This window comes from Homo sapiens, chromosome X, assembly GCF_000001405.40.
Source record: "Homo sapiens chromosome X, GRCh38.p14 Primary Assembly".
Lineage (NCBI taxonomy): Eukaryota > Metazoa > Chordata > Mammalia > Primates > Hominidae > Homo > Homo sapiens.
Window position 1 is genome coordinate 155,985,120 of NC_000023.11, and position 27,988 is coordinate 156,013,107.

Below are 27,988 nucleotides of genomic sequence, written 5' to 3' on the forward strand. Positions count from 1 at the left end.
TAGGGCACAGACCAGTACCTCTTTAGGGCACTGACCTTATATTACTAGTCTTTACTTTTGTACCTCTTTAGGGCACTGATCAGTACCTCTTTAGGGCACTGACCTTATATTGCTAGCCTTCATCTATCTCTATCTGTCCCTGTCTGTCCCTATGGTACCTGTTAGTTCCTGCAAGTTCCTGTCTTTCCCTACTTAGCTGTACTTACTTAGCTCTACTTACTTAGCTCTACTTACTTAGCTCTATCTCTTCCTGGAAACCTTTTTTATGACCCTGGATAGAGCTCAGAAATCCACCCTTTAAGCTTCAGCAAGAGATAAAACAGGGACTCTGGACCCGGCACCAGATTGAAAGGAACAGGAAGTGCTCTCCCCCTCCCCAAAGCAGGAAAACCAGAGTTTGGCCCTTGCAAATTTCCACTCCACATCAGCGTCATCCTCAATTTCCTGGAGTGAACTGTTGATCATTGCAATTAACATATTTAGCAAAACAATGACCATTGTAACATCATAGACTCCATAAAGAACATAACCAATGTTTTCAATGAATTTGTGGCTATAGTTGATGACCACTGATTTCACTGCAGAAAGCACAAATGTAGCCCAGAACAGTGTCTTAAAACTCTCTTCAACTGTTGTGAAGGCTTCATTTTGTTTTACATCAATGTAGTAGGAGTAGAGGTTGAACATTCCAATCATAAAGGCCACAAACACCATAATGAATATGAGCATGAACCTGAAGATGTCTTTGACTGCTCCTCCAAGCGACGTCTGCAGAGGTCCAAAGCTTTCATTTGCTGGCAAAATACAAGCTATCCCAGAGAAACTCAAAACCACAGCAACTGCACAAAGACCTTCAGACACCATACGAGGATCCGAGGGGTCCCACTCCCTCCTGGCCAAACTGTAGTATTTCACATTATCTCCCAATGTTACTTTTGTCAAGTCCTTCAAAGTATCACTTGCATCAGTGATGCTCTGGGCTTTGGAAGCATGCCAGAATGCCCTGAATCTTGCAATGAATGATGCTGATAAAATTGCTAACATACCAAAATCAAGCATGTTCCACAACTCAAACAAATATTCCTTGGGGCCTTGAGTCCAAATTTCTTTACATTCAGCCCATATCATGCCTCTGCGCTCATTAAATCTGTTTTTCTCTAGCAGAGGAAGGTTAACCATGAAACTGAAGCTTCAAGATGACTTTACTTGCCCAGGCTCCTTCTAAGTCCTCACTTTGTCTTCTGTTTCTCTAAATGGGGCCCTCTGAATAAACAAGCCTCAGATTCCCCTGGTCTTACCCCATGCCTCACCCTCTTCGTAATAAGTGCCTTAAGAAATTCAAGTAAGCAGAATGTTTGCTTTCACTTTGTCCCATCATTGTTAACCTGGTTCTTCCGAGTGCTAAGCTTTCCCACCGAGCTTCTTTCAGTTATCCTCGGGTGTCCTTTGACAATGCATCCTCCGCTTTCACACGCTCTAGTGTTCCTTCACCGGGATCTTTGTTGCCTCACGTTGGGCAGCCAGGAATGTTGGGGTGATCGGACCCAACACCAGGTCATGGGAGCGATGAAGTCTGGTGGAGTCAAAGGAATGAGAAAAGACAGTTTGAGAAAGAAAGTGAGTTCAGGGGGCCATCGCTAAGTATGGAGGCTGTGAAGGCCCCGAGCTCTGGAAGCCCAGACTATTTATTGGTGATCAAAGAAACAGGTGGTGAGAATGTGGGGTTGAAAGGGCGCATTGCATTAAGCACAAGATTTACAGCTGTGATGGTTTAGCATATGCTCTGCTACTTGAGATAATGGAGAGCAGGTTCTTTTAACTCAAGATACAATCAATCCTGGGAGAGCAAGGAGCAAGGAGCCAGCAAGTCTAGGCACATTCCAGAGGCCCCTGGGGGGTTTTGTGCCCTGAGCCCTGGATTCTATCCAAGCCACGAGGGGTTTTATGCCCTGGGCTTAGATTATGGTGCATCAGGGTAGCCTTCTACCCTTTACCACAGAGCTTGGTGTTCCAAAGGCCACGAGGGGTTTTAGACCTTGGACCCTGGAAATGTTCCAAGACTCTGTTACATTATGTCAGACATGCAAGCCCTGCCTCAGCTTCTCTCCCAACCCTCAGCTTCTCCCAACAGGCAGAGCCCTCATGGAGAACCTCTACTAGAGCAGTGTGAGAACCTCTACTAGAGCAGTGCAGAGGGGAAATGTGGGATTGGAATCCCCACACAGAGTCCCCAGTGGTGCACTGCCTGGTGGAGCTGTGAAAAGAGGGCCACCATTATCCAGACCTCAGAATGGTAGATCTACTGATGGCTTGCACCATGCACCTGGAAAAGCTGCAAGCAGTCAACACCAGCCCATGAAAGCAGCTGTGGGGGCTGTACCTTGCAGAACCTCAGAGGCAGAGCTGCCCAAGGCCTTGGGAGCCCATCCCTTGCATCAGTGTGGCCTGGATGTGAGACATGGAGTCACAAGAGATCATTGTGAAGCTTTAAGATTTAATCATTGCCCTGCTGGGTTTCAGACTTACATGGGGCCTGTAGCCCCGTTGTTTTGGCCAATTTCTCCCATTTGGAATGGGAACATATACCCAATGCCTGTACTCCCATTGTATCTTGAAGTAACAAACTTGTTTTTTATTTTAGAGGCTCATAGGTAAAAGGGACTTACTTTGTCTCAGATGAGACTTTGTACTGTGGATTTTTGAGTTAATGCTGAAATGAATTAAGACTTTAGGGGACTATTGGGAAGGCATGATTAGATTTGAAATGTGAGAAGGACATGAAATTTGGAAGAGGCCAGGGAAGAATGATATTATTTGCCTCTGTCCCCACCCAAATCTCATGTCAAATTGTAATCCCCATGTGTCAGGGAGGGATCTGGTGGGAGGTGATTGGATCATGGGGGCAGATTTCCTCCATGTTGTTCTTGTGATAGTGAGTTCTCCTGAGATCTAATAGTTTAAAAGTGTGGCACTTCCTGATTTGCTCTTTCTCCTGCCACCATGTAAGATGTGCCTGGTTTCCCCTTCACCTTCCATCATGATTGTAAGTTTCCTGAGGCCTCCCCAGCCGTGTGGAACTGTGCATCAATTAAACCTCTTTTCTTTATAAATTACCCAGCCTCAGGTAGTTCTTTATAGCAGTGTGAAAATGGACTAATGCAATACCCGTGAGGAAAATGAAGGACTAGCACATTGGGCCTTAATAAACATTTAAAGCTGAATAACTGGCCCCCATATCTATAATGAACGTTACCTCTGGTTCAGTCTCAATCAGATTTGCCTGAGGCTCATCCATACAGATGGAAAAGATAGGAGCCTGGAAGGCCTCAATGTCCCATCAATCATCTAGAGGATGACTTTCAGAGGCTTGATCATAATCCAGGAATAGAGTTAGAGGTGCTTGTCCTTGCCCTTGCCCTCATCCTTGTCCTGCATGACACCCCTGTCAGATAGGTTGGTGAGGTTGTGGCTGTAACAGCCTAGAAGGAAGAGGTGGCCCTCTCCTGAGAGAGAGAGGGACACTTACTCTTCTAATGATCCTCTTGTTTGCAATGAGGACAGGGTCCTGGGGGTAGCTTGTAATTTGGAGGTTTGGGATATTCTCTACTCTAGTGTCCTGGATTCCTGCAGCGATGATAGGCCCCCATTCTGTTAGTATTATAGGGATGAGTCTTGGGTTTATTAGCTAACGAAAAATAATGTATCAATGCCATTGCCATGTAATTCGCTTGGCAATGGCATTTTTCCTCCTCCAATTGAGCCTTTTTTTATTTTTGAGGTTGCCTCCCAGTCATTGAAAACCTTAAAGGCTGTATTTAGTAAAGTAGGGAAGGGAATGTGAGTGCCTTGCTCTAATTTTTGGAGTTTTTGTCTGATGTCTGGGGAAGCCTGACGTATAAGCTGTACAGCCAGAATGGATTGGCCCTTAGGGCTTTCAGGGTGTGAATTTGTATATTTATGCATTGCCTCCACCAGTCCAGCTTGGAAAAGGGTGGAGTTCTCAGATGGTTCCTGAGTGATTTCTTGTAACTTAGAAAAATTAACAGGTTTTATCACAGCCTTTTTCATTCCTTCCATCAAGCACGTTATTATATAATCTCATCGGCAGATGAGATAACGTTTGTTATTGCCAATTGGGTTCTCTGTTGAGGACAGCTTCTGCCTCAACCCTTTTATCATTAGGATTATGAGCATGAACTTTATTTGTCTACGCTTGAGCTAAAGACCATATGTGTGATTTTTCTTTGTGGGAATGGCACGAATATGTCTTGTCAGGTTAAATCAAAGGAGTTCTTGAGTGAACTTAGAGGGATCCTGGCAAAATGAATCCAATGTGGGTTGAATTTGTGAAAGATCAGACATTGGAAAAGGGACATGAACTCAAATTGTTCCCAAATCTCTATTTGCCATCTTGTGGACAGGCAAAACATTTTTGGGATTTTTGGAGGAATCTTAGAGTTGCATATGTGACTCCCGAGTGAGTATGTGAGGGGGATAAAGTATCTGGTTATGGGAAGGGTTGATTAGGGGATGGAGCAGATGGAGAGGTTGTAGGTGAAGCAGGAGCAGGCTGAGGAGAGTGTGGTATGCAAAAGGAAGGATCGTCTAAGACATCAGAATCAGGGGGAGAGGAAGTTCCTTGGAAGCATGTATGATAATTTTTATTTGGGGATTTGGGGATAAAGCCAAAAAGACCTCAACATGTGGGACCTCTGAATGCAAAAAAAAAGTATACACTTCTTTTTGGGAGTTTGTGGGTTAAAATGGGGTCACTTTTTAAGACTGCAACCCAAGGGCGAGTAGGAATGACTTGCCCTTGCCTGGATGACCAGGCCAGGTGTGCCCTTGTTTGAGTGGTCAACTCAAACCTAATGGGAAGGAGAACTCACCCGTAACTTGGGATATGGTGCCTCTGATGTTGAATCCAAAATTGTGTCCACAACCAGTGGAATGTGAAGAGTTGAGATTATTGTTTCCAAGGCATGGGTTACAGAGTGTTCAGTGAAAGTGGACTTGCCACCACAAATGGCTAATTATTATTTTTTCATTTTTTTATTTTGTAGAGATGGAGTTTTAGGTTTTGTTTGTTTGTTTTGATATTGAGTCTAGCTCTGTCACCCAGGCTGGCGTGCAGTGGTGCGATCTGGGCTCACTGCAACCTCAACCTCCTGGGTTTAAGCAATTCTCCTGCCCCAGCCTCCTGAGTAGCTGAGATTATAGGTGCACACCACCACGCCAGGCTAATTTTTTTTTTTTGTATTTTTAGTAGAGACGGGTTTCACCTTGTTGGCCATGCTGGTCTCGAACTCCTGACCTCACATGATCCACCTGCCTTGGCCTCCCAAATTTCTGGGATTACAGGTGTGAGCCACTGCACCTGGCTATCAGCAGATTTCTAATCATAAATTTTGGGGAACAGAAGGTAGTGGGCTCATATATTTAAAGCAGTGGAAGAAAATAGCTGTCAACCAAGACTCCTGTACTTAAAAGGTGAGGGAGAAATTAAGACATGCCCACAGAAACAAAAGCTGAGAGATTTCATTACGACTAGGTCTGCCCTGCAAAAAATGCCAAAAGGAGTCCTTCAGGTTGAAATGAAGGGACACTAGGCAGTAATTTGAAGCCATAAGAGGAAATAAATTTTTTTTTGAGACAGAGTCTTGCTCTGTTGCCCAGACTGGAGTGCAATGGTGCGATTTCGGCTTACCACAACTTCCACCTCCCGGGTTCAAGCAATTCTCCTGTCTCAGCCTCTCTAGTAGCGCCACTGCACCCAGCTAATTTTTTGATTTTTAGTGGAGACGGTGTTTCGCCATGTTGGCCAGGCTGGTCTTGAACTCCTGACCTCAGGTGATCCTCCCACCTCGGCCTCCCGAAGTGCTGGGATTACAGGCGTGAACCACCTCACCTGGCCAGAAATAAAGATCTTAGTAAAGGTAAATACAAGAGCAGTTATAAAAGCTACTATTAACTTTGGGTTGTAATTCTATTTTTTGTTATTTTACTTGATTTAAGAGCCTAATACATGATAATGAGTATTAGTGTAAAAGCTAGTATTACTGTAAGTGATTTGTAACTTCACATTTTGTCTTCTACATAATGTAAGAGATTAATGAATTTAAAATTATTAGTTTATATTTCTGGACATACAATGTATAAATATGTAATTTTGTAACATCAGTAACTGAAAAGGAGTGGGGATGGAACTGTACAGGGGCATAGTTGTTTTTTTTTTTTTTTTTTTCGGAGACAGGGTCTCACTCCGTCACCCAGGCTGGAGTACAGTGATGCAATAACGGCTCATCGCAACCTGAACCTCTCGGGCTTAGCTGATACTCCCACCTCAGCCTCCCGAATAGCTGGGACTACGGGCGTGCATCATCATGCCTGGCTGATTGTTTTTTTTTTTTTTTTTTTGTGATGGAGTCTCACTCCGTCACCCAGACTGGAGTGCCATGGCGCAATCTTGGCTCACTGCAAACTCTACCTCCCTGGTTTAAAAGATTCTCATGCCTCAGCCTCCTGAGTAGCTGGGATTAGAGGTGAATGCCACCACACCTGGATAATATTTGTATTTTTTAGTAGAGACGGGGTTTCACCATATTGCCCAGGCTGGTCGAAAAACTCCTGGGCTCAAGTGATCATCTTGCCTCAGGCTCCCAAAGTTCTCACAGGCATGAGCCACTGTTCCTGGCCTGGTTTTTGTATGTTATTGAAGTTAAGTGATAGAAATTCAAATTGGAGTGTCTTAATATTAGGAGGTTAAATGTAATCCCATGGTAGCCACAAAGAAAATAGCTTAGCTATAGAATATCCACAAAATGAAATGAGAAGAGAATTTAGATGTTTCACTGTAAAAAAAAATCAACTAAACACAAAAGAAGACAGTAATGCAGGATATAAGGGACCACAAAAAAAAGCCATAGGGCATATAGAAAACACATGGCAAAATCACATAAGTGAGTCTCTCCTTATCAGTAATTATTTTGAATGTAAGTGGATAAACTCTCCAATCGAAAGATAGAGATTGGCAGAATGGATTAAAAAAACATGATCCAGGTGGGTGGTGGAATGGGGAAGATATTGGTCAAAGAGTATAGTTTCAGATGGGAGGAATAAAGTGTTTTACTTGAAATTTATTGCACAGCATGGTCGCATGGTGAATGTAGGGTTTTGGTTGCTTTTTTTTTTTTGCCTTTTTTGCAACAAGGTCTCATTATTTTGCTTAGGATGGAGTACAATGACACAATTACAGCTTACTGTAACGTTGAACTCATGAGCTCAAGTGATCCTCCCACCTCAGCCTCTTGACTAACTAGGACTATAGGCACCGCACCTGACTGTTTTTTAATTTTTAACTTTGTAAGAGATGGGGTTTTGCTGTGTTGACCAGGCTGGCCTTGAACTTCTCACCTCAAGTAGTCCTCCCACCTTGGTCTCCCAAAGTGTTGGGATTACAGGCGTGAGCTTCCTGCCCAGCCATAAATGTAATTTATTGCACATTTCAAAATTGCTAAGAGTAAATGTTCTCACAACAAAGAAAAAGTATATGAGGTGATGGATATGTTAACTACTTTGATTTAAGCACTTCACCTTATATTCCTAAATTCTAATATAACATTGTACTCCATAAACATATACAATTATAATTTGTCAATGTACCACTTAAAGAAATGATCCAAGCCTGGGCAATGTGGCAAAACCCTGTCCCTACAAAACATACAAAAAGAAAAAATAGCCAGGTGTGGTGGTGCCCACTTATGGTCCCAGCTACTTAGAAGGTTGAGGTGGGAGGATCACTTGAGCCCAGGATGTCAGTGAGCTGTGATTGCACCACTGCATTCCAGCCTGAGCAACAGAGCAAGACCTGTCTCAAAAAATAAATACAGAAATAACATTTAAAAATGATCCAAGTATACACTGTCTACAAGAGTCTCACTTTAGATCTAAAGACACAAATAGGATGAAAGTAAAAGGATAGGGAAAGACATGTCATGCAGATAGTAACCAGAAGAGATCAGGAGTGGCCATATATAAATAATCCAATCACAGAAAGATTAATACTGTATAGGCCGAGTGCGGTGGCTCACACCTGGAATCCCAGCACTTTGGGGGACTGAGGCGGGCAGGTCTCTTGAGTCCAGGAGTTCAAGACCAGCCTGGCCAACATGATGAAACCCTGTTTCTACTAAAAACACAAAAATTAGCCAGGTGTGGTGGCGAACGCCTGTAATCCCAGCCACTCGGGAGGCTGAGGCACAAGAATCACTTGGACCTGGGAGGTGGAGGTTGCAGTAAGCCATGATCGTGCCACTGTACTCCAGCTTGGGCGACAGAGAGAGACTCTGTCTCAAAAAAAAAAAAAAAAAAAAACTTTGGAAAAAAAATTAATACTATATAAGTCCACTTATATGAGGTACCTAGCATAGACAGAAAGTAGAATGGTGGTTAACAGGTGGTTGTCAAGTTGAGGGGAGGAGGGAATGGAGAGTTGTTGGTTAAGGGTACAAAGTTCCAGTTTTGCAAGATGAAAAGGATTGTGGAGATGGGTGGTGGTGATGGTTGCACAACAATATAATAGTACTTAATATGTTAATATCACTGAACTGTACACTTAAAAATGGTTAAGATGGCCAAGCATGGTGGCTCATGCCTGTAATTCCAGCACTTTGGGAGGCCAAGGCAGGAGGATCACTTGAGGCTAGGAGTTCAAGACCAGCCTGGGCAACACAGTAAGACCCATTCTCTAAAATAAAAGCAAAAAATTAGCCAGGTGTGGTGGTGGACACCTGTAGTCCCAGCTATTCAGGAGGCTGAGGCAGGAGGATCGCTTGAGCCCAGGTGTTTGAGGCTGCAGTGAGCTATGATTGCATCACTGCATTCCAGCCTGTCTCAAAAAAAAAAAAAGTATAAACCAGTGTAAGCATGCTGGATCCATACAAATGTATAAACCATTCTTAGCTCACAGGTTTTAAAAATTAGGCTGGATTTGGCCCGTGTCATTTGCTGACCTCTGTTCTACCTCATAGGGCTGTGACAATTTATGTAGTTTAACATATAACAAGTCCTCTCTGTATCCATCTTGCAGATAAGGAAACTGAGGCTCAGAGAGGTTAATGTTCCTTCTTCTTGTATGCATTGTTATAATTTATTCCATATTTGAGACAGGGTCTCACTCTGTTGCCCAGGTTGGAGTGCAGTAGCCTGATCATGGCTTACTGCGGCCTCAATCTCCCCGGGCTCAGGTAATCCTCCTACCTCAGCCTCCTACTGGGACTACAGGTGCATACCACGATGCCCAGCTAATTTTTGTATTTTTTTTTTTGTAGAAACGGGATTTCACCATGTTGCCCAGGGTGGTCTTGAACTCCTGGGCTCAAACAATCCACCCACCTCAGCCTCCCAAAGTGGTGTTATTACAGGCATGAGCCATCATGCCTGGCCTATTCCTTTTATTTAAGATGCACTTTTTGCTTATATATTTTCTTTTCTTTCTTTTTTCTTTCTTTCTTTCTTTTTTTTTTTTTTTTTTTTGAGACAGAGTCTTTCTGTGTCAGCAGGTTGGAGTGCAGTGGCATGATCTTGGCTCGCTGCAACCTCTGCCTCCCGGGTTCAAGTGATTCTCCTGCCTCAGCCTCCCAGGTAGCTGGGATTACAAATGTGCACCACCATGCCCAGCTAATCTGTGTATTTTTAGTAGAGACAGGGTTTCACCATGTTGGTCAGGCTGGTCTCAAACTCCTGACCTCAAGGGATCCATCTGCCTCGGCCTTGATTCTTTTGTATAGAACCACACCTGGCCTTGGTTCTTTTGTATAGTTTCTATTTCTCCTCTGAGATTTCCTATGTATTCATTGGGAGCATATTTTCCTTTATATATTTGAGCATAGTAAGAGTATCTGCTTTAAAACCTTTGCTATTTCCAACAACTTATTCCTGGAAGTCAATCTTCATTGATTATCTTTTCTCTTAAGCATGGGTGACATAGTACTCTTTCTTCATGTGTTTGATAAATTTGTTTTTATCTTAGAAATTGTGAATGGTATACATTGTTGAGACTGTGTGTTCTGTTATATTTCTCTGGAGGGTGTTTAAAAATTTTTTTTAATTTTGTTTTTGTTTGTTTGTTATTTTAGCAGGCAGAAAACTCTGTGTCCTGAGGTGAACAGCTGAAACTTCTGTTCAGGTTATTTAACCTTAGCTGGGCTCCTTGGAGTTAGCTGGCAGATGTATAGTTCAAGGGTCATCCAGAGATTTGGGTAGAATTTAGATGTAGAATTTGGGGCTCTCTTCTCTGGTTTTTCTTTTGAGAATTTCCTTTCTCCCTATCCAGCCCTTGTGGTCTCTGCTTCTGAGGTTATGATATGGGTAGTGTGGTCTGCTGGTCTTGAGTTAGTAAATTCTGGCTTCAGCAAGATAGAAGGCACACTGACAGAAAGAAGCTGTCTTGGTAAGGACACTAGTGCAGGGATGGCTCCAGTGAGTAGAACAGTATATGCTTGTAGCAGGTAAGACTGGAGCCAAGCTGATTAAAATTCAACCCCAAAGAACACACAAGTAATAAATACATGAAAAGATGCTTATCTTGACTAATACTCAAGGAAGTACAAATTAGAACCACATTGAAATATCTTAGCCTATCAGATTGGCAAAGATGAAAAAGACTGATAATGTTTACTGTTGGTGAAGGTTACAGGCATTCTTACATTGTTGGTGAGAGCAAAAGTCTGTGCAACACTTTTTATGTAGGGCCATATCTCAGCATCTATCAATATTTTAAAATGCTAACCCTAAGACCCCACAATTCTACCCCTAGCAATTTATCCTACAGTAGGACTCACTCTGTTGTTTGAAGATCCATGCCCAGAATTATTCACGAAATTCACTTAAAATAGCATATATGCTTGAACCCAGGAGTCTGAGGCTGCAGCGAGCTATGATCATGTCACTGCACTCCAGCCCAGCCTGGGCGACAGAGCAAGACTCTGTGTCTAAAGAAATGAAAATAAAAATAAATAAAATAGCATATACAGGCAACAATCCAAATGTTCATTGCAGAAATTATGATTATTATTGTTTTTCTTTTAGAGGCAGGGTGTCACTCTGTTGCCCAGACTAATCTTGACCTCCTGTGATCCTCAAGAGATCCTCCGGTCTCTGCTTCCCAAAGTTCTTGGATTACAGGTGTGAGGCACTGGGCCTAGACATTGCAGGGATTATTAAACCATGGTGCATACTACCATTAAAGGTATGAGGTAGGTTTTATATGCTGACCTAGAAAGATGGTGCAACACCATAGGGGAACAAGAAGGCTGCAAAGTGGCAGCACAGCAGGAGTCTTTAAGAAATAGGTATTTGTTTCAGCTTAAGAAGTGTCTGGCTGGGCGTGGTGGCTCACACCTGTAATCCCAGCACTTAGGGAGGCTTAGGTGGGCGGATCACTTGAGGTTAGGAGTTCAAGACCAGCCCAGTCAACACGGTGAAACCCCATCTCTACTAAAAATACAAAGAAATTAGCTGGGCTTGGTGGCAGGTGGCTGTAATCCCAGCTACTCAGGAGCTGAGGCAGGAGAATCATCTGAACCCGGGAGGCCGAGGTTGCAGTGAGCCTAGATCGCACCACTGCACTCCAGCCTGGGTGACAGAGTAAGACTCGGTCAAAAAAAAAAAAAAAAAAGACCGGGTGCGAGGTGGCTCTCGCCTGTAATCCCAGCACTTTGGGAGGCCTAGGCAGGAGGATCACAAGGTCAGGAGATCGAGACCATCCTGGCCAACATGGTGAAACCCCATCTCTACTAAAATACAAAAATTAGCCGGGTGTGATGGCACACGCCTGTAGTCCCAGCTACTCAGGAGGCTGAGGCAGGGGAATCGCTTGAAACCAGGAGGTGGAGGCTGCAGTGAGCCGAGATCACGCCACTGCACTCCAGCCTGGCGACAGAGCAAGACTCCATCTCAAAAAAGAAAAGAAAACAAACAAACAAACAAAATCCCCAAAAAGCAAAAGTGTCTGCATGGACTTGTGCCTAACTACTCACAGTGGCTACTTCTTGGGGGAGGTGAAAGGGGACCCTGTTAAAGAATTTTTCTTCTGTATTGTTTTTCTTCAACTGAGTCTGCATTAATTTTATATTTAATACTCTCCCCACCCCTGATGCTCACAGGTTGCTTTAGCTGGTGGAAGGAGAACCTGCACCTCTGGTTTTGGCAAAGTGTAGAAGGGGACAAGGGCACTGCTCTGCACCTGCACAGGTTCTTGCCTCCTGGGGTCAGTTTAATGAATCTCAGTGGTGTTTCTTGGGAAGAACACAGTGGACACTCACTTGCCAGTCAGTAGACAAATCACTGAAGTCCATGTCTGGCAGTTCTCAATGTCATGGGGACTGTAAGGTTGTCATGTCTCACAGTTCCCTGACTTAGAAGATTAGTGGTGACAGACACTTCTCAGCTCTGCTCGGGAGAGCAGCTCTGTAATGCGCTTGTGGTTTCAGATGTGGGCGGCCTGTGTGAACCTGTCGTGCAAAGCTCACGTCACCAACTGCTGCAGTTATCTCCTGAATCAGGCTGAGGGTCTTTGCTGTGCACCCAGAGATAGTTGGGTGACAAATCACCTCCAGGTTGGGGATGCCTCAGACTTGTGATGGGACTGGGCAGATGCATCTGGGAAGGTGAGTCTGTGCTTTGGGCTTCCCAACCTCTCAAGTCAGCATGAAATTCAGAAGGCAGAGAGGGACATGTGGCCCTCCAACTCGGGGCCCAGGGAGCCACTGTGGCATTTGAGAGCGCCACCCTAGCTTTACCTCCTCTGGTGTCCTGGCCTTGTGTATCTCTTAGAGATGGCAAAATTTGCAGCCCTGACCTCAAGGATTACAAACTAATTTCCAGTCCTGTAGGGGTCATGGGTTCTGCTGTGGCCAGTGTGGCACTGAGTTTGTCAGGCAGAATTTCTAATTATGGAAGGAACTCTGCTTCCTCAGTGATTGAACTGACCTTTGTGGGGGTGCCTTTGTGGGGTGAGAATGGGCATACTTGGGCCTCAGTTGTGATGGCCATGGGGTGGAGCTGAGGTCTAGGCCCAGGGCTGGGAAAGCTTCTACCAACCCCGAGGCATTTGGGTGTTTTAGGGCAGAAGAGGAGCCAGGAGGATGGGTATGCCCCACTGGAGCTGTGTGTGGGGCAGCAGGTGAGGGTGGGATTCCAGAGGGAGGGTCAACCCAGCCAAGCAGAGGAAGGGGAGGAGAGGGTTTGTTTTGGAAAGAACATCACCCTCTCAGTTTCCTGGGGTCTGGATAGCCTGTTCTTGTGATGAGCTGGAGGATGTGGGCCCTGCTTGGATCCTCCTCTCCCCTCCCTGCCCCCATTTTCTCTTCCTGTGATTTATGCTGTTCTGGGCTCACCCTCTTCCCAGAGCTGTCACGCTACAGCTGACAGGCAGGGCAGGCGTTTTAATTATTATTAATTTTTTTTTGAGACAGAGTTTGAGACAGTATCAAGAGTGGGTATCCTCTCAGCGTGTCTTCAAGTAGCATCCCAGAGCCCCGCTCCTGGGTACCCACAACATGAACACCGTCCAGAAGCAAGGGCAGCCTCTGCAGGTGGGGCGGGGGTTGGAAAACATTTATCAAACGGTTGAGTTGGGTGCAGGGGATGCAACATGATCAAACAGGGTCTTGCCTCCAGGAGCCTCATGTAGGGACAACGCACAGTGATGACCTTCAACTGCAGTGGGGCAGCAAGGCTGTGGGAGGGGTGTTTTGGGCAGAGCAGGCGACGTGGGTACCTCTTCACCAAGACAGCAGGAAGAGCACGGACATCATTTTCCCGTCTCACCTCCAGACTCCCAGGGGACTGTGCCAATATCCTCACTCCAGCCCTGGCCCATGGCCACTGCTCAACCCTTGGGCCCTGTCAGTTCAGGGCTGTGCAGAAGGAGAGTTGCCTGTGCTCAGGCTCAGGGGTTCCGTCCAGCTAAGGAGGCCTACTAGGGGACTGGGGAAAGGCCTCATGAAGGACCAGGCCTGTGATGGGGAGGGAAGATGGCAGAGGGGACAGTGGGAAGCAGAGCAGCAGGGGTCTCCTCCACGCCTCTCTGTACTTCTCCCACCCACCCTTGCCTACTCCCCTCTGCCCTGGGTATGTGCCCTTGTCCACCCAACACCTCTGCAGTGCCAAGTCCAGCCCTGACTTCTTCCTGAGCTGTGGCCCAGCGTTCCCACAGGCATTTACCTCACGGATGCAGCACTGCCCCTCATCCTCTTCTCTGAAAGTGTGTGGGAAATGCTTCTTGGTGCCATCTCTCTCCCACCCTGCCTTCCCTGCACCTTCTCTATGAGGTGTCTGTTGTCTCTGTACTTGCCTCCAGCTGGCCTTTCAGACCCCATCCCTCCTGCCTCCTGCCCATCCCTACCCCTGTCAGCACCTTACATACTCTGTGCCCAACAGCATTGGGGATTCCCACTGTGCTGAAGGAAGTCCTCATGTGGTCCAGAGAGGGAGCTGGCCCCTGCTCCCATTTCCAGCACCATTTTCTGGCACAGGCTCCATGTCCCCAGGCTCCAGCTGCTTCTGGGGTACCAAGGTCTGCATTTCTTCCTCTTCCCCCAGCAGACAGAAGACCTTGCTGGACAGGTGTCCACTTCAATAGTAACTTCTGAGGCTGCCAGCCTCCTGAATGGTCCAGAAGAACCAGACCCTTCCCCGCCCCCATTAAAAAAGACAAAATATGGCCAGGCATGTTGGCTCATGCCTGACATCCCAGCACTTTGGGAGGCCAAAGCAGGTGAATCACTTGAGGCCAGGAGTACGAGACCAGCCTGACAAACATGGTGAAACCCTGTGTCTACTAAAAATACAAAAATTAGCCAGGCGTGGTGACTCATGCTTGTAAATGCTTGTAATCCCAGCTACTTGGGAGGCTGAAGCAGGAGGATCACTTGAACTCGGGAGGCAGAGGTTGCAGTGAGCCGAGATCACGCCACTGTGTTCCAGCCTGAGCGACAGAGCGAGACTCCGTCTAAAAAAAAAAAATATATATATATATACACACATATATATATGCATAATAGTCTCTGTGTAACAGTAAGTGGATGCAGTAACTGGTGTGAGGGCAACTTGGAGAGTGTGCTTGGAGGCACAGAGATGCTCAGGGCTGCCTGGACTGCCTCCATGATGGTGGCCTGCTCTGTATTAGGTGAGTGTTCAGGAAAGGTGAGGGCAGGGCAGCCCACAGCTTCACAGTGGCCCAGGGAAGCAGGGCAGGCAGGCTATGAGGCCTAGTAGGCATCTGGGCCAGACTTTGACACTGAGGCCATGGAATGGGTGGGGCTCTGAGAACAGACCAAAGTGATCATGGGCTGAAGGCTATGTCCACAGATCCAAGGCGGGATAGGCTGTGCTGGGCAGTGATGTCAGCCAGGCTCCCCAGCGGGACTGGGGGTGTCAGGGGCAGCTCTGTCCCAGGTGGCAGACACTGGTTTCCCCTCCTGCTCTCACAACCGGCCTGTTACCAGGTGTTGTCTGAGCTGTGGTGAGGCTTCCCTGGTGACATTCAGGAGCAGGGAGCCTGTGAGTAAGGGTGTATGCATCTGCCCTGACTGCCTGGCCCTGTGGTCAAGGATGGGGGAAGGCAGCTCTGCCTGCAGCTCCACCCCATTTATAAAGCACTGTGGTGCCTTCTGCTGGGGCATGTGCTGAGTGGTGCCTCGCAGGCACTGCCCTCGGGAAGTTCACAGGCTTATGTGGAAGCTGGTGGGAATGGGCCAAGAAGAGAGGTGTCAGGAGCCAGGTATTGGGCAGGTCCCAGGTCTCTGAGCCTCAGTTTCTTCATCTGTAGGAGGGTGGTGACCCTGCCCTGCTCAGCTTACCAGGTACAGATGTAAGTTTTCAGTGCAGAGGAAAAGCAGAGAACTTCCCCTCAGATGGCCATACCCCCTTGTCGCTGTACCCAACTCTCCGGTCCTACTTTGTAGCTCTCAGGTGTCACATGTGGATCCTGCCCTACCATCCCCCTTCCCTGTCTAGAAACGAGGCCTGCTGAGCTTGGAGCCATCCCACTCCCTGCTCTCAAGCCGTCTGCTCCTGGGTTAGCCTGTGGCTGGCCTGGCCTGATTCTACATAGATGTGGGTGTTTCTCCACTGCTGGGGCAGCAGTTGTCCATTCTGGGGCCTGGGTCAGCTCTCAGCTGTGGCCGTTGTGCCTGTGCTTCCCCAGGTCCTGGTGGTGACTCCAACCCTGCCCTCACATATCCCAAGAGCAGGCTGACTGCCTTCCCCATTCCCACCTTTCCAGTAACTGCTGCAAGAACGGACAGACACTGCTGCAGAGAACTTGCCACGGTGTTTCATGCTGTGGCTGGTGGTTCCAGGCTGCACGCTCCATTCTAGGAAAGGGTGAGGCTTCCTGATCATCAGTCTTAACAGGGGACTGTCCTATGGGTACCTGTATACGCTGCCGGGAGTGGGGCAGAGTGGGGTTAGAGTAGTGCCTGCTGCCCATTGGTTTGTGCGGTCCTTTAAGGCTGTAAGTCTGTGTGCGTGTCTGGTTTTTTCCTCCTCCTATCAGTAATCAGTCTTGTATAACCAGGCTGGCCCTGCTTCCTGCCTAGGGGCTATCGGTGTACCATCTGGAGTTGCAAATGGGGTGATAGGGCGTCAGCGGCCTTCCCACACCCAAGCACTTCCTGACACCCAGCCCCTCATCTCTAGCCAACCTCTGGCTCCCCTAGGGATCCTGGGGCTCAGGCCTCACGCTCCAGCATCCGGGGGCTTTGCCCTTCTGGTGTTGCTCTTCTTTGCAGGTGCCTTGGAACAGGGGTGCAACAGAGTTCAGAAAGTGCCATCTGTTGCATGGATACCCTGCTGCCACCCTCGTCCACCTTTCTGGGGCAGAACAGTTGGATGGGTCTTTATTTAAGAGGACAAAAGGGAGAGAGAATGCATAGAGGCTGGGTCTGGTGCTCACGCCTGTAATCCCAACACTTTGGGAGGCCAAGGCAGGTGGATCCCTTGAGGTCAGGAGGTCAAGACTAGCCTGGCCAACATGGTGAAACCCCGTCTCTACTAAAAATACAAAAAAAAAAAAATTAGCTGGGCATGGCGGGAGATGCCTGTAATCCCAGCTACTCGGGAGGCTGAGGCAGGATAATCACTTGAACCCAGGAGGCGGAGGTTGCAGTGAGCCAAGATCACACCACTGCACTCTAGCCTGGGTGACAGAGGGAGACTGTCTCAAAAAAAAAAATTTGCTTAGAATTTGTCTGTGTGACCCTGGGCAAGTCATTTCCCCTCCTTGGGACTCAGTTCCTTGCCTGTGAACGGGGACAGTGCTTCTCCCTTACAGAGCTGTTGTGAGAATTAAAGTAGAAAATGTACCTATGGTGGTTGTTGGTAGTGACCAGTTCCCCCAACCCTGACTCCCCTGCAGGATGGGGCCTGGGCCCGGGAATGGGGGATGGGCTGGCAGAGGATGACTGTCCCAGAGAGGAGTCTTCTCGGCAGATGTGGAGACCTAGCTGAGTCAGAGGCCAGGATCTAAGTTTGAGGGTGTTCCTTACACCCTGCAGCCATGAGTCTTTGGCTGAGTCAAATGGCCTTTCTGAGCTCAGTTCCTTATCAGTAAAGCCTGGACAGTGGTCCAGGACGCTGGACACTGTGTGAGTGTTAGGACACAGGACACTGTGTGAGTGCAGGTGGGGACCCATGGAGCACTCTGCTGGGGAGCAATTCATGGGGAGCACCCCTCCAGAGAGGGATGATTTGCACAGGGCCCTCAGCCCAGTCCCTTGCAGGCTGGACCTTGGAGAGTGAGGCCCTGAGGCGAGACATGGGCACCTGGCTCCTGGCCTGCATCTGCATCTGCACCTGTGTCTGCTTGGGAGTCTCTGTCACAGGGGAAGGACAAGGTGAGGGCTGGGCACTAATGTCTGTATGAGGTGGGTGGAGAACTAGGGCATGTTTGGGGGACTGGGTTGTCCGATGTCAAGCCTCTAGGGAAAGGTTTGGCCCAAACTGTGCTGGGGCATGTCCTCTAGGGGTCAGCCTGGACCTCAGTCTCTAGTCTCCCTACTTTTACCTCCCTACCTTCATTCCCTGGACCGACTGTAGTCTCCCTTCCTTCACTCTCTTGACGCCTCTCCAGATCTGACTTGCCCGTGTACCACAGGTCAGAGCCCATCACTTCCCAGGCCTCCCAGTGCTTCCCTGGACAGATTCTGGGATCATTTACTGGTGACTGCCCTGCTAGGGTGTCAGCTGTCAGATCCTCCCCAACCCCCGAGCTCAGCTCTGGCCTGAAGTACTTACCGTGGGCTCCTGATGGTCACTGTCTCCAGGGCCAAGGTCTAGAACCTTCACCTGCCTCACCAACAACATTCTCAGGATCGATTGCCACTGGTCTGCCCCAGAGCTGGGACAGGGCTCCAGCCCCTGGCTCCTCTTCACCAGGTGAGCATGGAGGGCCATGCCCACCTGGACAGGGATGAGGGTGAGTTCCCCAGGATTGAAGCAGCTATGCCAGGACAGTGTAGCAGCCCCGTGGTGCTGACAAATGCCCTTTCCAGCAACCAGGCTCCTGGCGGCACACATAAGTGCATCTTGCGGGGCAGTGAGTGCACCGTCGTGCTGCCACCTGAGGCAGTGCTCGTGCCATCTGACAATTTCACCATCACTTTCCACCACTGCATGTCTGGGAGGGAGCAGGTCAGCCTGGTGGACCCGGAGTACCTGCCCCGGAGACACGGTGAGCAGCAGCTATAGGTCTGGGGCGGGGCCGCTTGGCAAGAACATCCTGGCTGCTTGGGGGTTTGGAGCAGGGCCTTGCAGCCTGTGAGTGGCCCAGTGAGTGTTCTCAGTCCCAGCCGAGTGAGATCCAGGGCTGGGGGCAGGCTTGGCCCTTGGGAGGGGAGGGCCCATATGGTTACTGCAGGGGCAGGGTTTTGGCAGGAAATAAACATGCACGGCTGCTAGTTGGGGCAGGGGCTGGCACTTGAGTCATGTGAAATGCACTTCAGTCATACCAGGAAGGACTCCAATAAGATGCTGGGAAAAGCTTCCAGCAGCAGACTGTGAAGGAAAGGGAAAGCAAGATTTAGAAACCACCTAGTCTAGGTGCAGAGGCCAGAGGAAGTCATTGCTGTCCTGTCCCGCCTGGGGCTTTTGTGGACCAGTCTCCCAGTGAGGTGCCTGGTCTGAGAGGGCCTTGACCATTCCCCTTGGGAGTCTTTCAGACCCCAGTCTTGTGTGTTCTGACTGACACACCCAGACCCATGGGGCTTCAGCCTCACATGGATTCACTCTGTTCCAGTTAAGCTGGACCCGCCCTCTGACTTGCAGAGCAACATCAGTTCTGGCCACTGCATCCTGACCTGGAGCATCAGTCCTGCCTTGGAGCCAATGACCACACTTCTCAGCTATGAGCTGGCCTTCAAGAAGCAGGAAGAGGCCTGGGAGGTAACACTTTGGCTGGCTTTCCCTGGGGGCCTCTCTCCTGGGAACAGCAGTCCAGGGTAGACTCCCCACTCTACATAGGGAGATGTCAACTTGTAGTGATGAGAAGGGAGGAACTAGAGCGGGGTGTGTGTGCACACACACATGCTGGCATGCAGATGTGTATGCTTTATGTGTGTGTATGGGAGTAGGGTGAGTGCGCCTGTGTCTCTGTGTGTGCACATAAGTGTGGTGAGTGTGCATGTATGTGTTTATGTGTACACATATGTAACTGTGCACACTCATGTTTGTGTGCCCATGTTTGTGTGTTTATATGTAAGTGTACATATGTGTGTGCCTGTGCCTTGCATTTGTGTGAGTGTGCACATGGGCATGCCTATGTGTATGAGTGTGTATGTGAGTGTGGTGAGTTGCTTCTGTGCACACACTTTTGTTTATGAGTGTGCATGCAAGTGTGATGAGTGTGAAAGTGTTCCTGTAGACATGTTTGCCTGTGTGTGCATATGTGTATTTGTGGGCAAACGCAGCTGTGTCTGTGAGTGTGAGTGTGCCTTCTGTGTGTGTGTGTGCACGTGAATGTGGTGAGTGTGTCTGTGTGTTAACACAAGTGTGTTCAAGAGTGTGTTATATGAGCATATAATGCATGTGTGTATTCTCGAGGGCTGAGGGACCCAGCCCCACCTTCACCACCTGCTAACTGTCCCCACCCCCACAGCAGGCCCAGCACAGGGATCACATTGTCGGGGTGACCTGGCTTATACTTGAAGCCTTTGAGCTGGACCCTGGCTTTATCCATGAGGCCAGGCTGCGTGTCCAGATGGCCACACTGGAGGATGATGTGGTAGAGGAGGAGCGTTATACAGGCCAGTGGAGTGAGTGGAGCCAGCCTGTGTGCTTCCAGGCTCCCCAGAGACAAGGTGGGCACTGCTGTGGCTGCTGCACTTCCAGCGGAGTCTGGGCTGGGCGTCTTCTCCCCTGTTCACCTCAGCCCTGCACCCTTTCACCCTCCTGTAAGCCCCTCCCCGAGGCAGCCATGCCTCAGTTGACCCCCTTCCTCTGAAGGTCTGAGGTCTGTAGGGAGGACAGAAACACCTGCCAACTCTGGGGCTTCCTGGGAACCTGTAGTTAGTGGCTGCTGTTAGGAGTGAGGGTGGCAGGGCTGCACACCAGGGCTGGGCTCCTGCCTGGAGGCTGGACATGACCTCAGTGTCCTTAATGGGGGCTGGACTGACCCTTGCGCACTGCAGTGCTGAGATGGCCCAGGGACTTTATGACCCACCTTGTGGCAGATGGGAAGAGTGAGGCCCAGGAGTGTGGTTCACACAAGGTCCTTCAGCAGGTGACACAAACCTCCAAGGCCCATCACAAGGTCCTTCAGCAGGTGACACAAACCTCCAAGGCCCATCACAAACCTTCCACTTTGGCCCAGGGCACTAAAGGGCGCACCTTTGCCAGGTGGGTTTGGGGGGAGCCTCCTGGCACTGAGGCTGCTCACAGCCCTGGGCCCTTCCTGTCCACAGGCCCTCTGATCCCACCCTGGGGGTGGCCAGGCAACACCCTTGTTGCTGTGTCCATCTTTCTCCTGCTGACTGGCCCGACCTACCTCCTGTTCAAGCTGTCGCCCAGGTAGGTGGCTGATGTGTGCGTGTGTGTACATGTGTGAGCGGGCAAGAGTGTGCATGTTAGTGTATGTGTGCAGATGTGTGACTGTGTGCATGTGTGAGTGTGTGGTGGGTGGGCCATCAAGGGCCGCCCTTGTCTGGTTCCTCCCCTCCCCTCTCCACTGCCTGGTCCTGGACGGGGTGGGCTTTTCGAGTCTCCACCCTGGTCCAGAAGAGGGTTCTCAAGTTGCCAGGGGAGAGCAGGGAAGGGGGGTCTGAGGCAGAGGCTGAAGATAAGGGCAGCTTGGTCCCGACCAGACCCAGAGTCACCGAGATCAAGAGCCGGAGGTCCTAGTCTCCTGCCTCTGGAGGAGCTTGGTTTGTTCATTTGTTCACATGTTCTACGAAAGGACAGTTGGGGCATCTGGTGTGCTCAGGACCCTGTTCTCAGAACAAGATGGACAAGGGCCCTCCTTAAATAAACCGTCACGCCTCATGCACCACATGTCAGGTTACAAGACAGGGTGCAGGGGCCATGTCAGGCCGCAGATGTGAGGAAGAGGGTGTGGGGAGAGGGGTGTTGGGTGGGGCTAAGTGGGAGGGTGCTTCGCTTCTCCTTGGAGCAAAGGAAAGTGTAAAACTGTGTGACACAACCTAGTTTATGTTTTGAGGAATAGATTGCTGGGACAAGGGGACATGGGGGACCTGCTGGAGGCCAATGGGGGCCAGTGAGGTGCCCACAGGGAGACGATTTGGCATGAGCCAGTGAAAGAAGTGGAGATAGAGAAAAGTGGAGAGAATTGCAGGGTCTCATGAGGGGAAATAGAAGGGACATGTGGGTGGATGAGATATGAGTGGTGACCCCTGAGGTGGGGAAATGGGGGACAGCCTTGCAGGGAGGTTGGTGAAGTCTATTTGGACCTGTTGGGTTGGAGCCCCAGGTGACATCCTTGTGGGAGGGTCAGTGGATCCTTGGCAGCAAGTCTGGTGCTCAGGGAGACACTGGGTGGGGTGGGAGCCACAGACCTTCTGCTGATGGCAAAGACAGGGTTCCTGGAGTGCTGGCTCCCTCTGTGATCTGAGGACCCAGCTAGTAACTCCCCGTTCTGAACCCGCCATCGCAGCTCACGCTGTAAAGGACGCGCGCCTCAGTATAAATCAGTTCTATGCGGCCGTTAGGCAAGGAGGCCCAGTTGGGTCCTGCCCTGAGAGTGGGTTGGAATGTGATGAGATGGGAGAGAGGCAGTGGCAGGGACGAGGTGGGCGGACCTCCTGCTGATGGAAGGAAGCTCAGCCTCTGCAGTGACCTCAGGCCACCTGGGTCGCCATAGGCCTCTGACTGGCCTCTCTTGGCCTCAGGGTGAAGAGAATCTTCTACCAGAACGTGCCCTCTCCAGCGATGTTCTTCCAGCCCCTCTACAGTGTACACAATGGGAACTTCCAGGTGTGTGCAGAGACCACAGAAGGACATGGGGGGCAGGGGTTGCCCAGAGCTCTGGCCTGCCCAAGATGTTGGCTTTCACTGAGGGTTGGCGGCCAGTATGGGAGGCTTGTCAGTGCTTGGAGCCTTTTTTGTATATTCAGTGAATTTCAATTTATACGCGTATCTCAAATGGGGAAAAATTAGCTTTATTTTCCATTGCTGATTTCTTTTTGTTCTCAGGTCTCTAGTTCCATTGTTGATTGAAAAAATGTAAATTTCTCATAACTTATCTCTGTCCCCTCTGGTTTGCAGCTTTCTGCACCCACCATGTGCCTCACCTCCTCCTTCTGCGAAGGTGTCTGTCCTGTGGCCATGGGGAAGGGTCTGTGGTGTGTGTGCTGCCCTTGGGGCTCTCACTGCCTCTGGGCTCCTGCTCTGCCTGGTCCCCTGGTCTCCCCGGATCACATGATGGCACCACAGCTGAGGAGTGGGCTCTGCACTTCCCCCCCTTCCACCCATGTTGGGCTCCTACAGCCCAGGCACCAGTGAGCAACTTGGGGGTTGCATCAGCCCCTCCCCTCCCTGCTGGGCTGTTGGTTCATGCCCCCTGGGTGGGAGGAGGGGGAGAGGGAGAGCTCCAGTGAGTGGTCTCTGGTTTTTCCCCTCAGACTCCTCACTTTGGGCAAAGGACAAGAGGCAGTGAGGGCCCCTCCCTGGGGTCTGGGCCAAGCTGACCACTCTTCTCCAGAATCTTCCCTCCCTGTCCCCTTCACACTGTGGCTCCAGCTTACTATGCAGAAAAATCCTTTTCTCTCTCAATGAGGAGCGTAGTTTTCAAGATTTTTGTCCAAAAATATAATTTGAACCATGAACCGGGCATCTGGCTCTTGGCAGAGTCTCCCTCTTTCCCCAAGGTGGTAGATGTGACTGTCAGGAGCCTGGGCAGCTGACGACAAGGCTGAGCAGGTCAGATTGTGACTGTCCCCTGGACTGTCATCCTGTTGCGGGCACCAGCTGTTCCCTAGAGAACTAGGACACCTGCCACGGGTTATTTAGACCTGCGGGTGAGGATCTGGTGCCATAGGTTGGTCTCCAGGGAGCACTGCAGTGATGGAGGGTGTTGTGTGTGTGATGCATGGGATGGAGGCTCCTGGTCCCACCAAGGGAACAGCTTCCTTTTGGAGGCGGGGGCCTCCTGTGGCCCCACAGAAGGATCCAGGTCTGCTGGCCATAGCCGAGTGCTTTGAAAGTCACCAGTCCTGACAGCGATTCGTGTGTGTGTCTGTGTGTGTGTGTGTGTGTGTTTATGTGTCTGTGTGTGTTCGTGTGTGTGTCTGTGTGTGTGTTTGTGTGTGTATGTCTGTGTGTGTGTGTTTATGTGTGTGTGTCTGTGTGTGTTTAAGTCTGTGTGTGTTTGTGTGTGTGTGTCTCTGTGTGTGTGTCTGTATCTGTGTGTGTTTGTGTCTGTGTGTGTTTGTGTGTGTGTCTGTGTGTGTTTGTGTGTGTGTGTCTGTGTGTGTGTTTATGTGTCTGTGTATGTTTGTGTGTGTGTTTGTGTGTGTGTGTTTGTGTTTATGTGTGTATGTCTGTGTGTGTCTGTGTGTCTGTGTGTGTATGTGTCTGTGTGTGTTTATGTGTCTGTGTGTGTTCGTGTGGTGTGTGTGTCTGTGTGTGTGTGTTTGTGTGTGTATGTCTGTGTGTGTGTGTGTTTATGTGTGTGTGTCTGTGTGTGTTTATGTCTGTGTGTGTTTGTGTGTGTGTGTCTCGTGTGTGTGTGTCTGTGTGTATCTGTGTGTGTTTGTGTGTGTGTGTGTCTCTGTGTGTGTGTGTGTTTGTGTATGTTTGTGTGTGTGTGTGTGTGTGTTGGGAATGCCCAGTCTCTGCAGCTGCTGAAAGGCCCTGAGGCACATGCTGTCAGGAGCTGGCTCTGTCCTGGGCAGATATCACCATCTGTACCTCGGTTCAGGCTGCCGTGGGCACCAGGCCCTGTGCTGGGGGAGTGCTGAGGAGCCTGAAGGGACTCAGGGTCCCGTGATGAGGCTGGGCTGGCACATGGAGGAAAGACAGAATGTCCAAGACACAGGCGCTGCTTGGCCTCTGGGTGTGGACCTCAGGAGGGCTTCCTGGAGGAGGAGGGATGCTGGGCTTGCCAGAAAGGAGGCAGCTGCTCCCAGGATGAGTTCTGAACATGCTACCTGAGCCCTTCCCTCCTCCCGTGCTCTGTTCCAGACTTGGATGGGGGCCCACGGGGCCGGTGTGCTGTTGAGCCAGGACTGTGCTGGCACCCCACAGGGAGCCTTGGAGCCCTGCGTCCAGGAGGCCACTGCACTGCTCACTTGTGGCCCAGCGCGTCCTTGGAAATCTGTGGCCCTGGAGGAGGAACAGGAGGGCCCTGGGACCAGGCTCCCGGGGAACCTGAGCTCAGAGGATGTGCTGCCAGCAGGGTGTACGGAGTGGAGGGTACAGACGCTTGCCTATCTGCCACAGGAGGACTGGGCCCCCACGTCCCTGACTAGGCCGGCTCCCCCAGACTCAGAGGGCAGCAGGAGCAGCAGCAGCAGCAGCAGCAGCAACAACAACAACTACTGTGCCTTGGGCTGCTATGGGGGATGGCACCTCTCAGCCCTCCCAGGAAACACACAGAGCTCTGGGCCCATCCCAGCCCTGGCCTGTGGCCTTTCTTGTGACCATCAGGGCCTGGAGACCCAGCAAGGAGTTGCCTGGGTGCTGGCTGGTCACTGCCAGAGGCCTGGGCTGCATGAGGACCTCCAGGGCATGTTGCTCCCTTCTGTCCTCAGCAAGGCTCGGTCCTGGACATTCTAGGTCCCTGACTCGCCAGATGCATCATGTCCATTTTGGGAAAATGGACTGAAGTTTCTGGAGCCCTTGTCTGAGACTGAACCTCCTGAGAAGGGGCCCCTAGCAGCGGTCAGAGGTCCTGTCTGGATGGAGGCTGGAGGCTCCCCCCTCAACCCCTCTGCTCAGTGCCTGTGGGGAGCAGCCTCTACCCTCAGCATCCTGGCCACAAGTTCTTCCTTCCATTGTCCCTTTTCTTTATCCCTGACCTCTCTGAGAAGTGGGGTGTGGTCTCTCAGCTGTTCTGCCCTCATACCCTTAAAGGGCCAGCCTGGGCCCAGTGGACACAGGTAAGGCACCATGACCACCTGGTGTGACCTCTCTGTGCCTTACTGAGGCACCTTTCTAGAGATTAAAAGGGGCTTGATGGCTGTTCCAAAGTGTTGATGGCTGGGAGAAGGGGCCAGAGGAGGAGTGAGGGGTGGGGTTTGTCCAGCCCTGGGCTTTCCGGGCTCTAGAGATAGCATGGTGTAGGCTCAATGACAGTTCTGGGGACAGCAAGTTGGAGGTTCAGGGGCAGCTTCAGGACAGCAGGATGGAGGCTCAGGGACAATTCCTGGGAGGCCAGTGCCCTCGTTCCTCCTTGTCCTCATCCTCCCCCTTGCTCCAGGAAACTGAGAGCTGAGCCTGGAGCTTCCAGACAGTCAGTGCTGGGGGTGACCATCCAGCAGTGATGGTGGCCTGTGAAGGGTCCTGCTTCTGTCCTCAGCCTCTCATGGGGTGGGCTTGTGGAGGAGCTGTGGTCTGGAGAGAGTGGCAGTTGGAGCAGAACGTGCCTGCGTTTGTTTCCTAGGGCTGTCGTAACAAAGTGCCACAAAATGGTTAGCTTAGAACCACAGAGATTTGTTGTCTCACAATTCTGAAGTCCAGAAGTTGGAAATAAAGATGTTGGCAGTGTTCCCAACCACATGTTCTTGGGCTCCCATGAAACAGAAGTTGATATTAGGCCAAGGAAGCTTCCCAGACAAGACTTTATTAAGTCTTATGCCCCGAAAGTTTGGGCAGAAGAGAGACGGTGCAGGAGGAAGAATTCTTGGCTGACTCCCCAAGGGGAATGCATTGTGGTGTCTTAAGGAGGGTGACATACATAATTTATGAGCTACATGAGTGTCATTGCACATATGGGGTGGAGCGAAGGGTGCTCAGACGCATGCTAACACATACGTTGCATGATCAGAAAATGGCAGATAAGCCCCTCCCTGGGTGAGGACTTTAGTATTATCATAAGACCAGGGTCATTCTCCTGGCCTTGTGCACAAGCAGGTGATGGAGTCAACTCCCGTCAGTAAGACTTATGGCGGGATGCTGCTTATCTTAGTTTATTTCAGACAGTTGGCAAGGTCTGGCCAGCGAGTATGGCACCTGGAGGGTGGTGCTGCAAGGTCTAGTGGTCAGCGGGCACGTATGGAACAATACGTTAGTGGGGGTGGGCCGAGTCCCATTTATACTCTCTCAGCAGGGCCATGCTCCCTCTGAAGGCACTAGGGAAGGATTAGTTTCAGGCCTCTCTTCAGCTTCTGTTAGTTTCTTGGCTTGTGACACCAAAGCTGTAATCTTTCTTTTGTTTTGTTTTTGTGACGGAGTTTTGCTCTTGTTGCCCAGGCTGGAGTGCAATGGCACAATCTCGGCTCACTGCAACCTCCTCCTCCCAGGTTCAAGCAATTCTTCTGCCTCAGCCTTTGGAGTAGCTGTGATTACAGGCACCTGCTACCACGCCTGGCTAGTTTTTGTATTTTTAGTAGAGACGGTGTTTCGCTATGTTGGCCAGGCTGGTCTCAAACTCCTGATATCAAGTGATCCGTCTGTCTCTGCCTCCCAAAGTGTTGGGATTACAGGCATGAGCCACCGTGCCTGGCCAAAGTTCCAGTCTTTACAGGGATTTTTCCTTGTGTGCATTTCTGTGTCCAAATTTCCCCTTTTTAAAATCACAATAATAGTGAATTAAGGCTGGCCCTAACGATTTAATCTTAACTTGATCATCTGCAAAGACACTGTTTCCATATAAGGTCACATTCACAGCTACTGGGGTTAGGACTTCAACCTAGAGGGCCTGACTTCTGGCCCAACACATCATGGCCCATCCCAGCATGCCCCATCCCCTTCCTGGGTGCCCCAGGCAGATCACAGGAGGGCCTGACTGCTGGGCTTTGGGCTGACATTGGGATCATCTGCCTAGTTAGGGCTGTGACCAGACTGAGATAGGAGGTGGGACCTGACTCCTGAGGCAGGGCTTGAACTCTGGACCAGATTACAGACTAGCTGAAACAGGCAAAAGCACCCCTCCATAAGACACACCCACTGGTGCCAAGTGAGTTTGCCGTTCTCATGGTAACAGCTGGAAATTACTGCCCCTTTCCATGGCAATGACCTGAAAGTTACCACCCCTTTTCTAGAAATTTCTAAATAACCTCCTCCTTAATTTGTATATAGTTACAAGTGGGTATAAATATGTGTGCAGAACTGCCTCTGAGCTGCTACTCTGGGCTGACTGCCTATGGGGCATCCCTGCTCCATAAGGAGCAGTACCTCTGCTGCCACTGTGCACAGCTGCTTAAATAAAAGTTGCTCTCTAATACCACCGACTCGCCCTTGAATTCTTTCCTGGGTGAAGCCAAAAGCCCTCCTGTGCTAAACCCCAATTTCTGGGCTCACCTTTCCTGCATCA

General features: G+C 49.9%; 1 protein-coding gene and 1 pseudogene across 13 annotated transcripts; one reads left to right on the forward strand and one right to left on the reverse strand.

The window, feature by feature from the left end:
- On the reverse strand, positions 235 to 1,132 carry TRPC6P1 (TRPC6 pseudogene 1; annotated as a pseudogene).
- IL9R (interleukin 9 receptor) lies at positions 12,577 to 27,901 on the forward strand. Of its 13 annotated transcripts, none has more exons than XM_011531155.3 (11): positions 12,577 to 12,668; positions 16,289 to 16,389; positions 17,763 to 17,900; positions 18,330 to 18,441; positions 18,558 to 18,736; positions 19,301 to 19,446; positions 20,159 to 20,360; positions 20,964 to 21,069; positions 22,404 to 22,488; positions 22,780 to 23,012; positions 24,697 to 25,698. In XM_011531155.3, exons 1-11 carry the CDS (start codon positions 12,625 to 12,627, stop codon positions 24,731 to 24,733), a joined length of 1,383 nt encoding a protein of 460 aa, XP_011529457.1. In that variant the 5' UTR covers positions 12,577 to 12,624; the 3' UTR covers positions 24,734 to 25,698. The 13 variants fall into 13 exon arrangements, with proteins under 13 accessions (XP_011529457.1, XP_047298049.1, XP_047298050.1 ...); XM_047442093.1 differs by having other exon boundaries at positions 20,162 to 20,360; XM_047442094.1 differs by having other exon boundaries at positions 17,787 to 17,900; positions 22,780 to 27,901.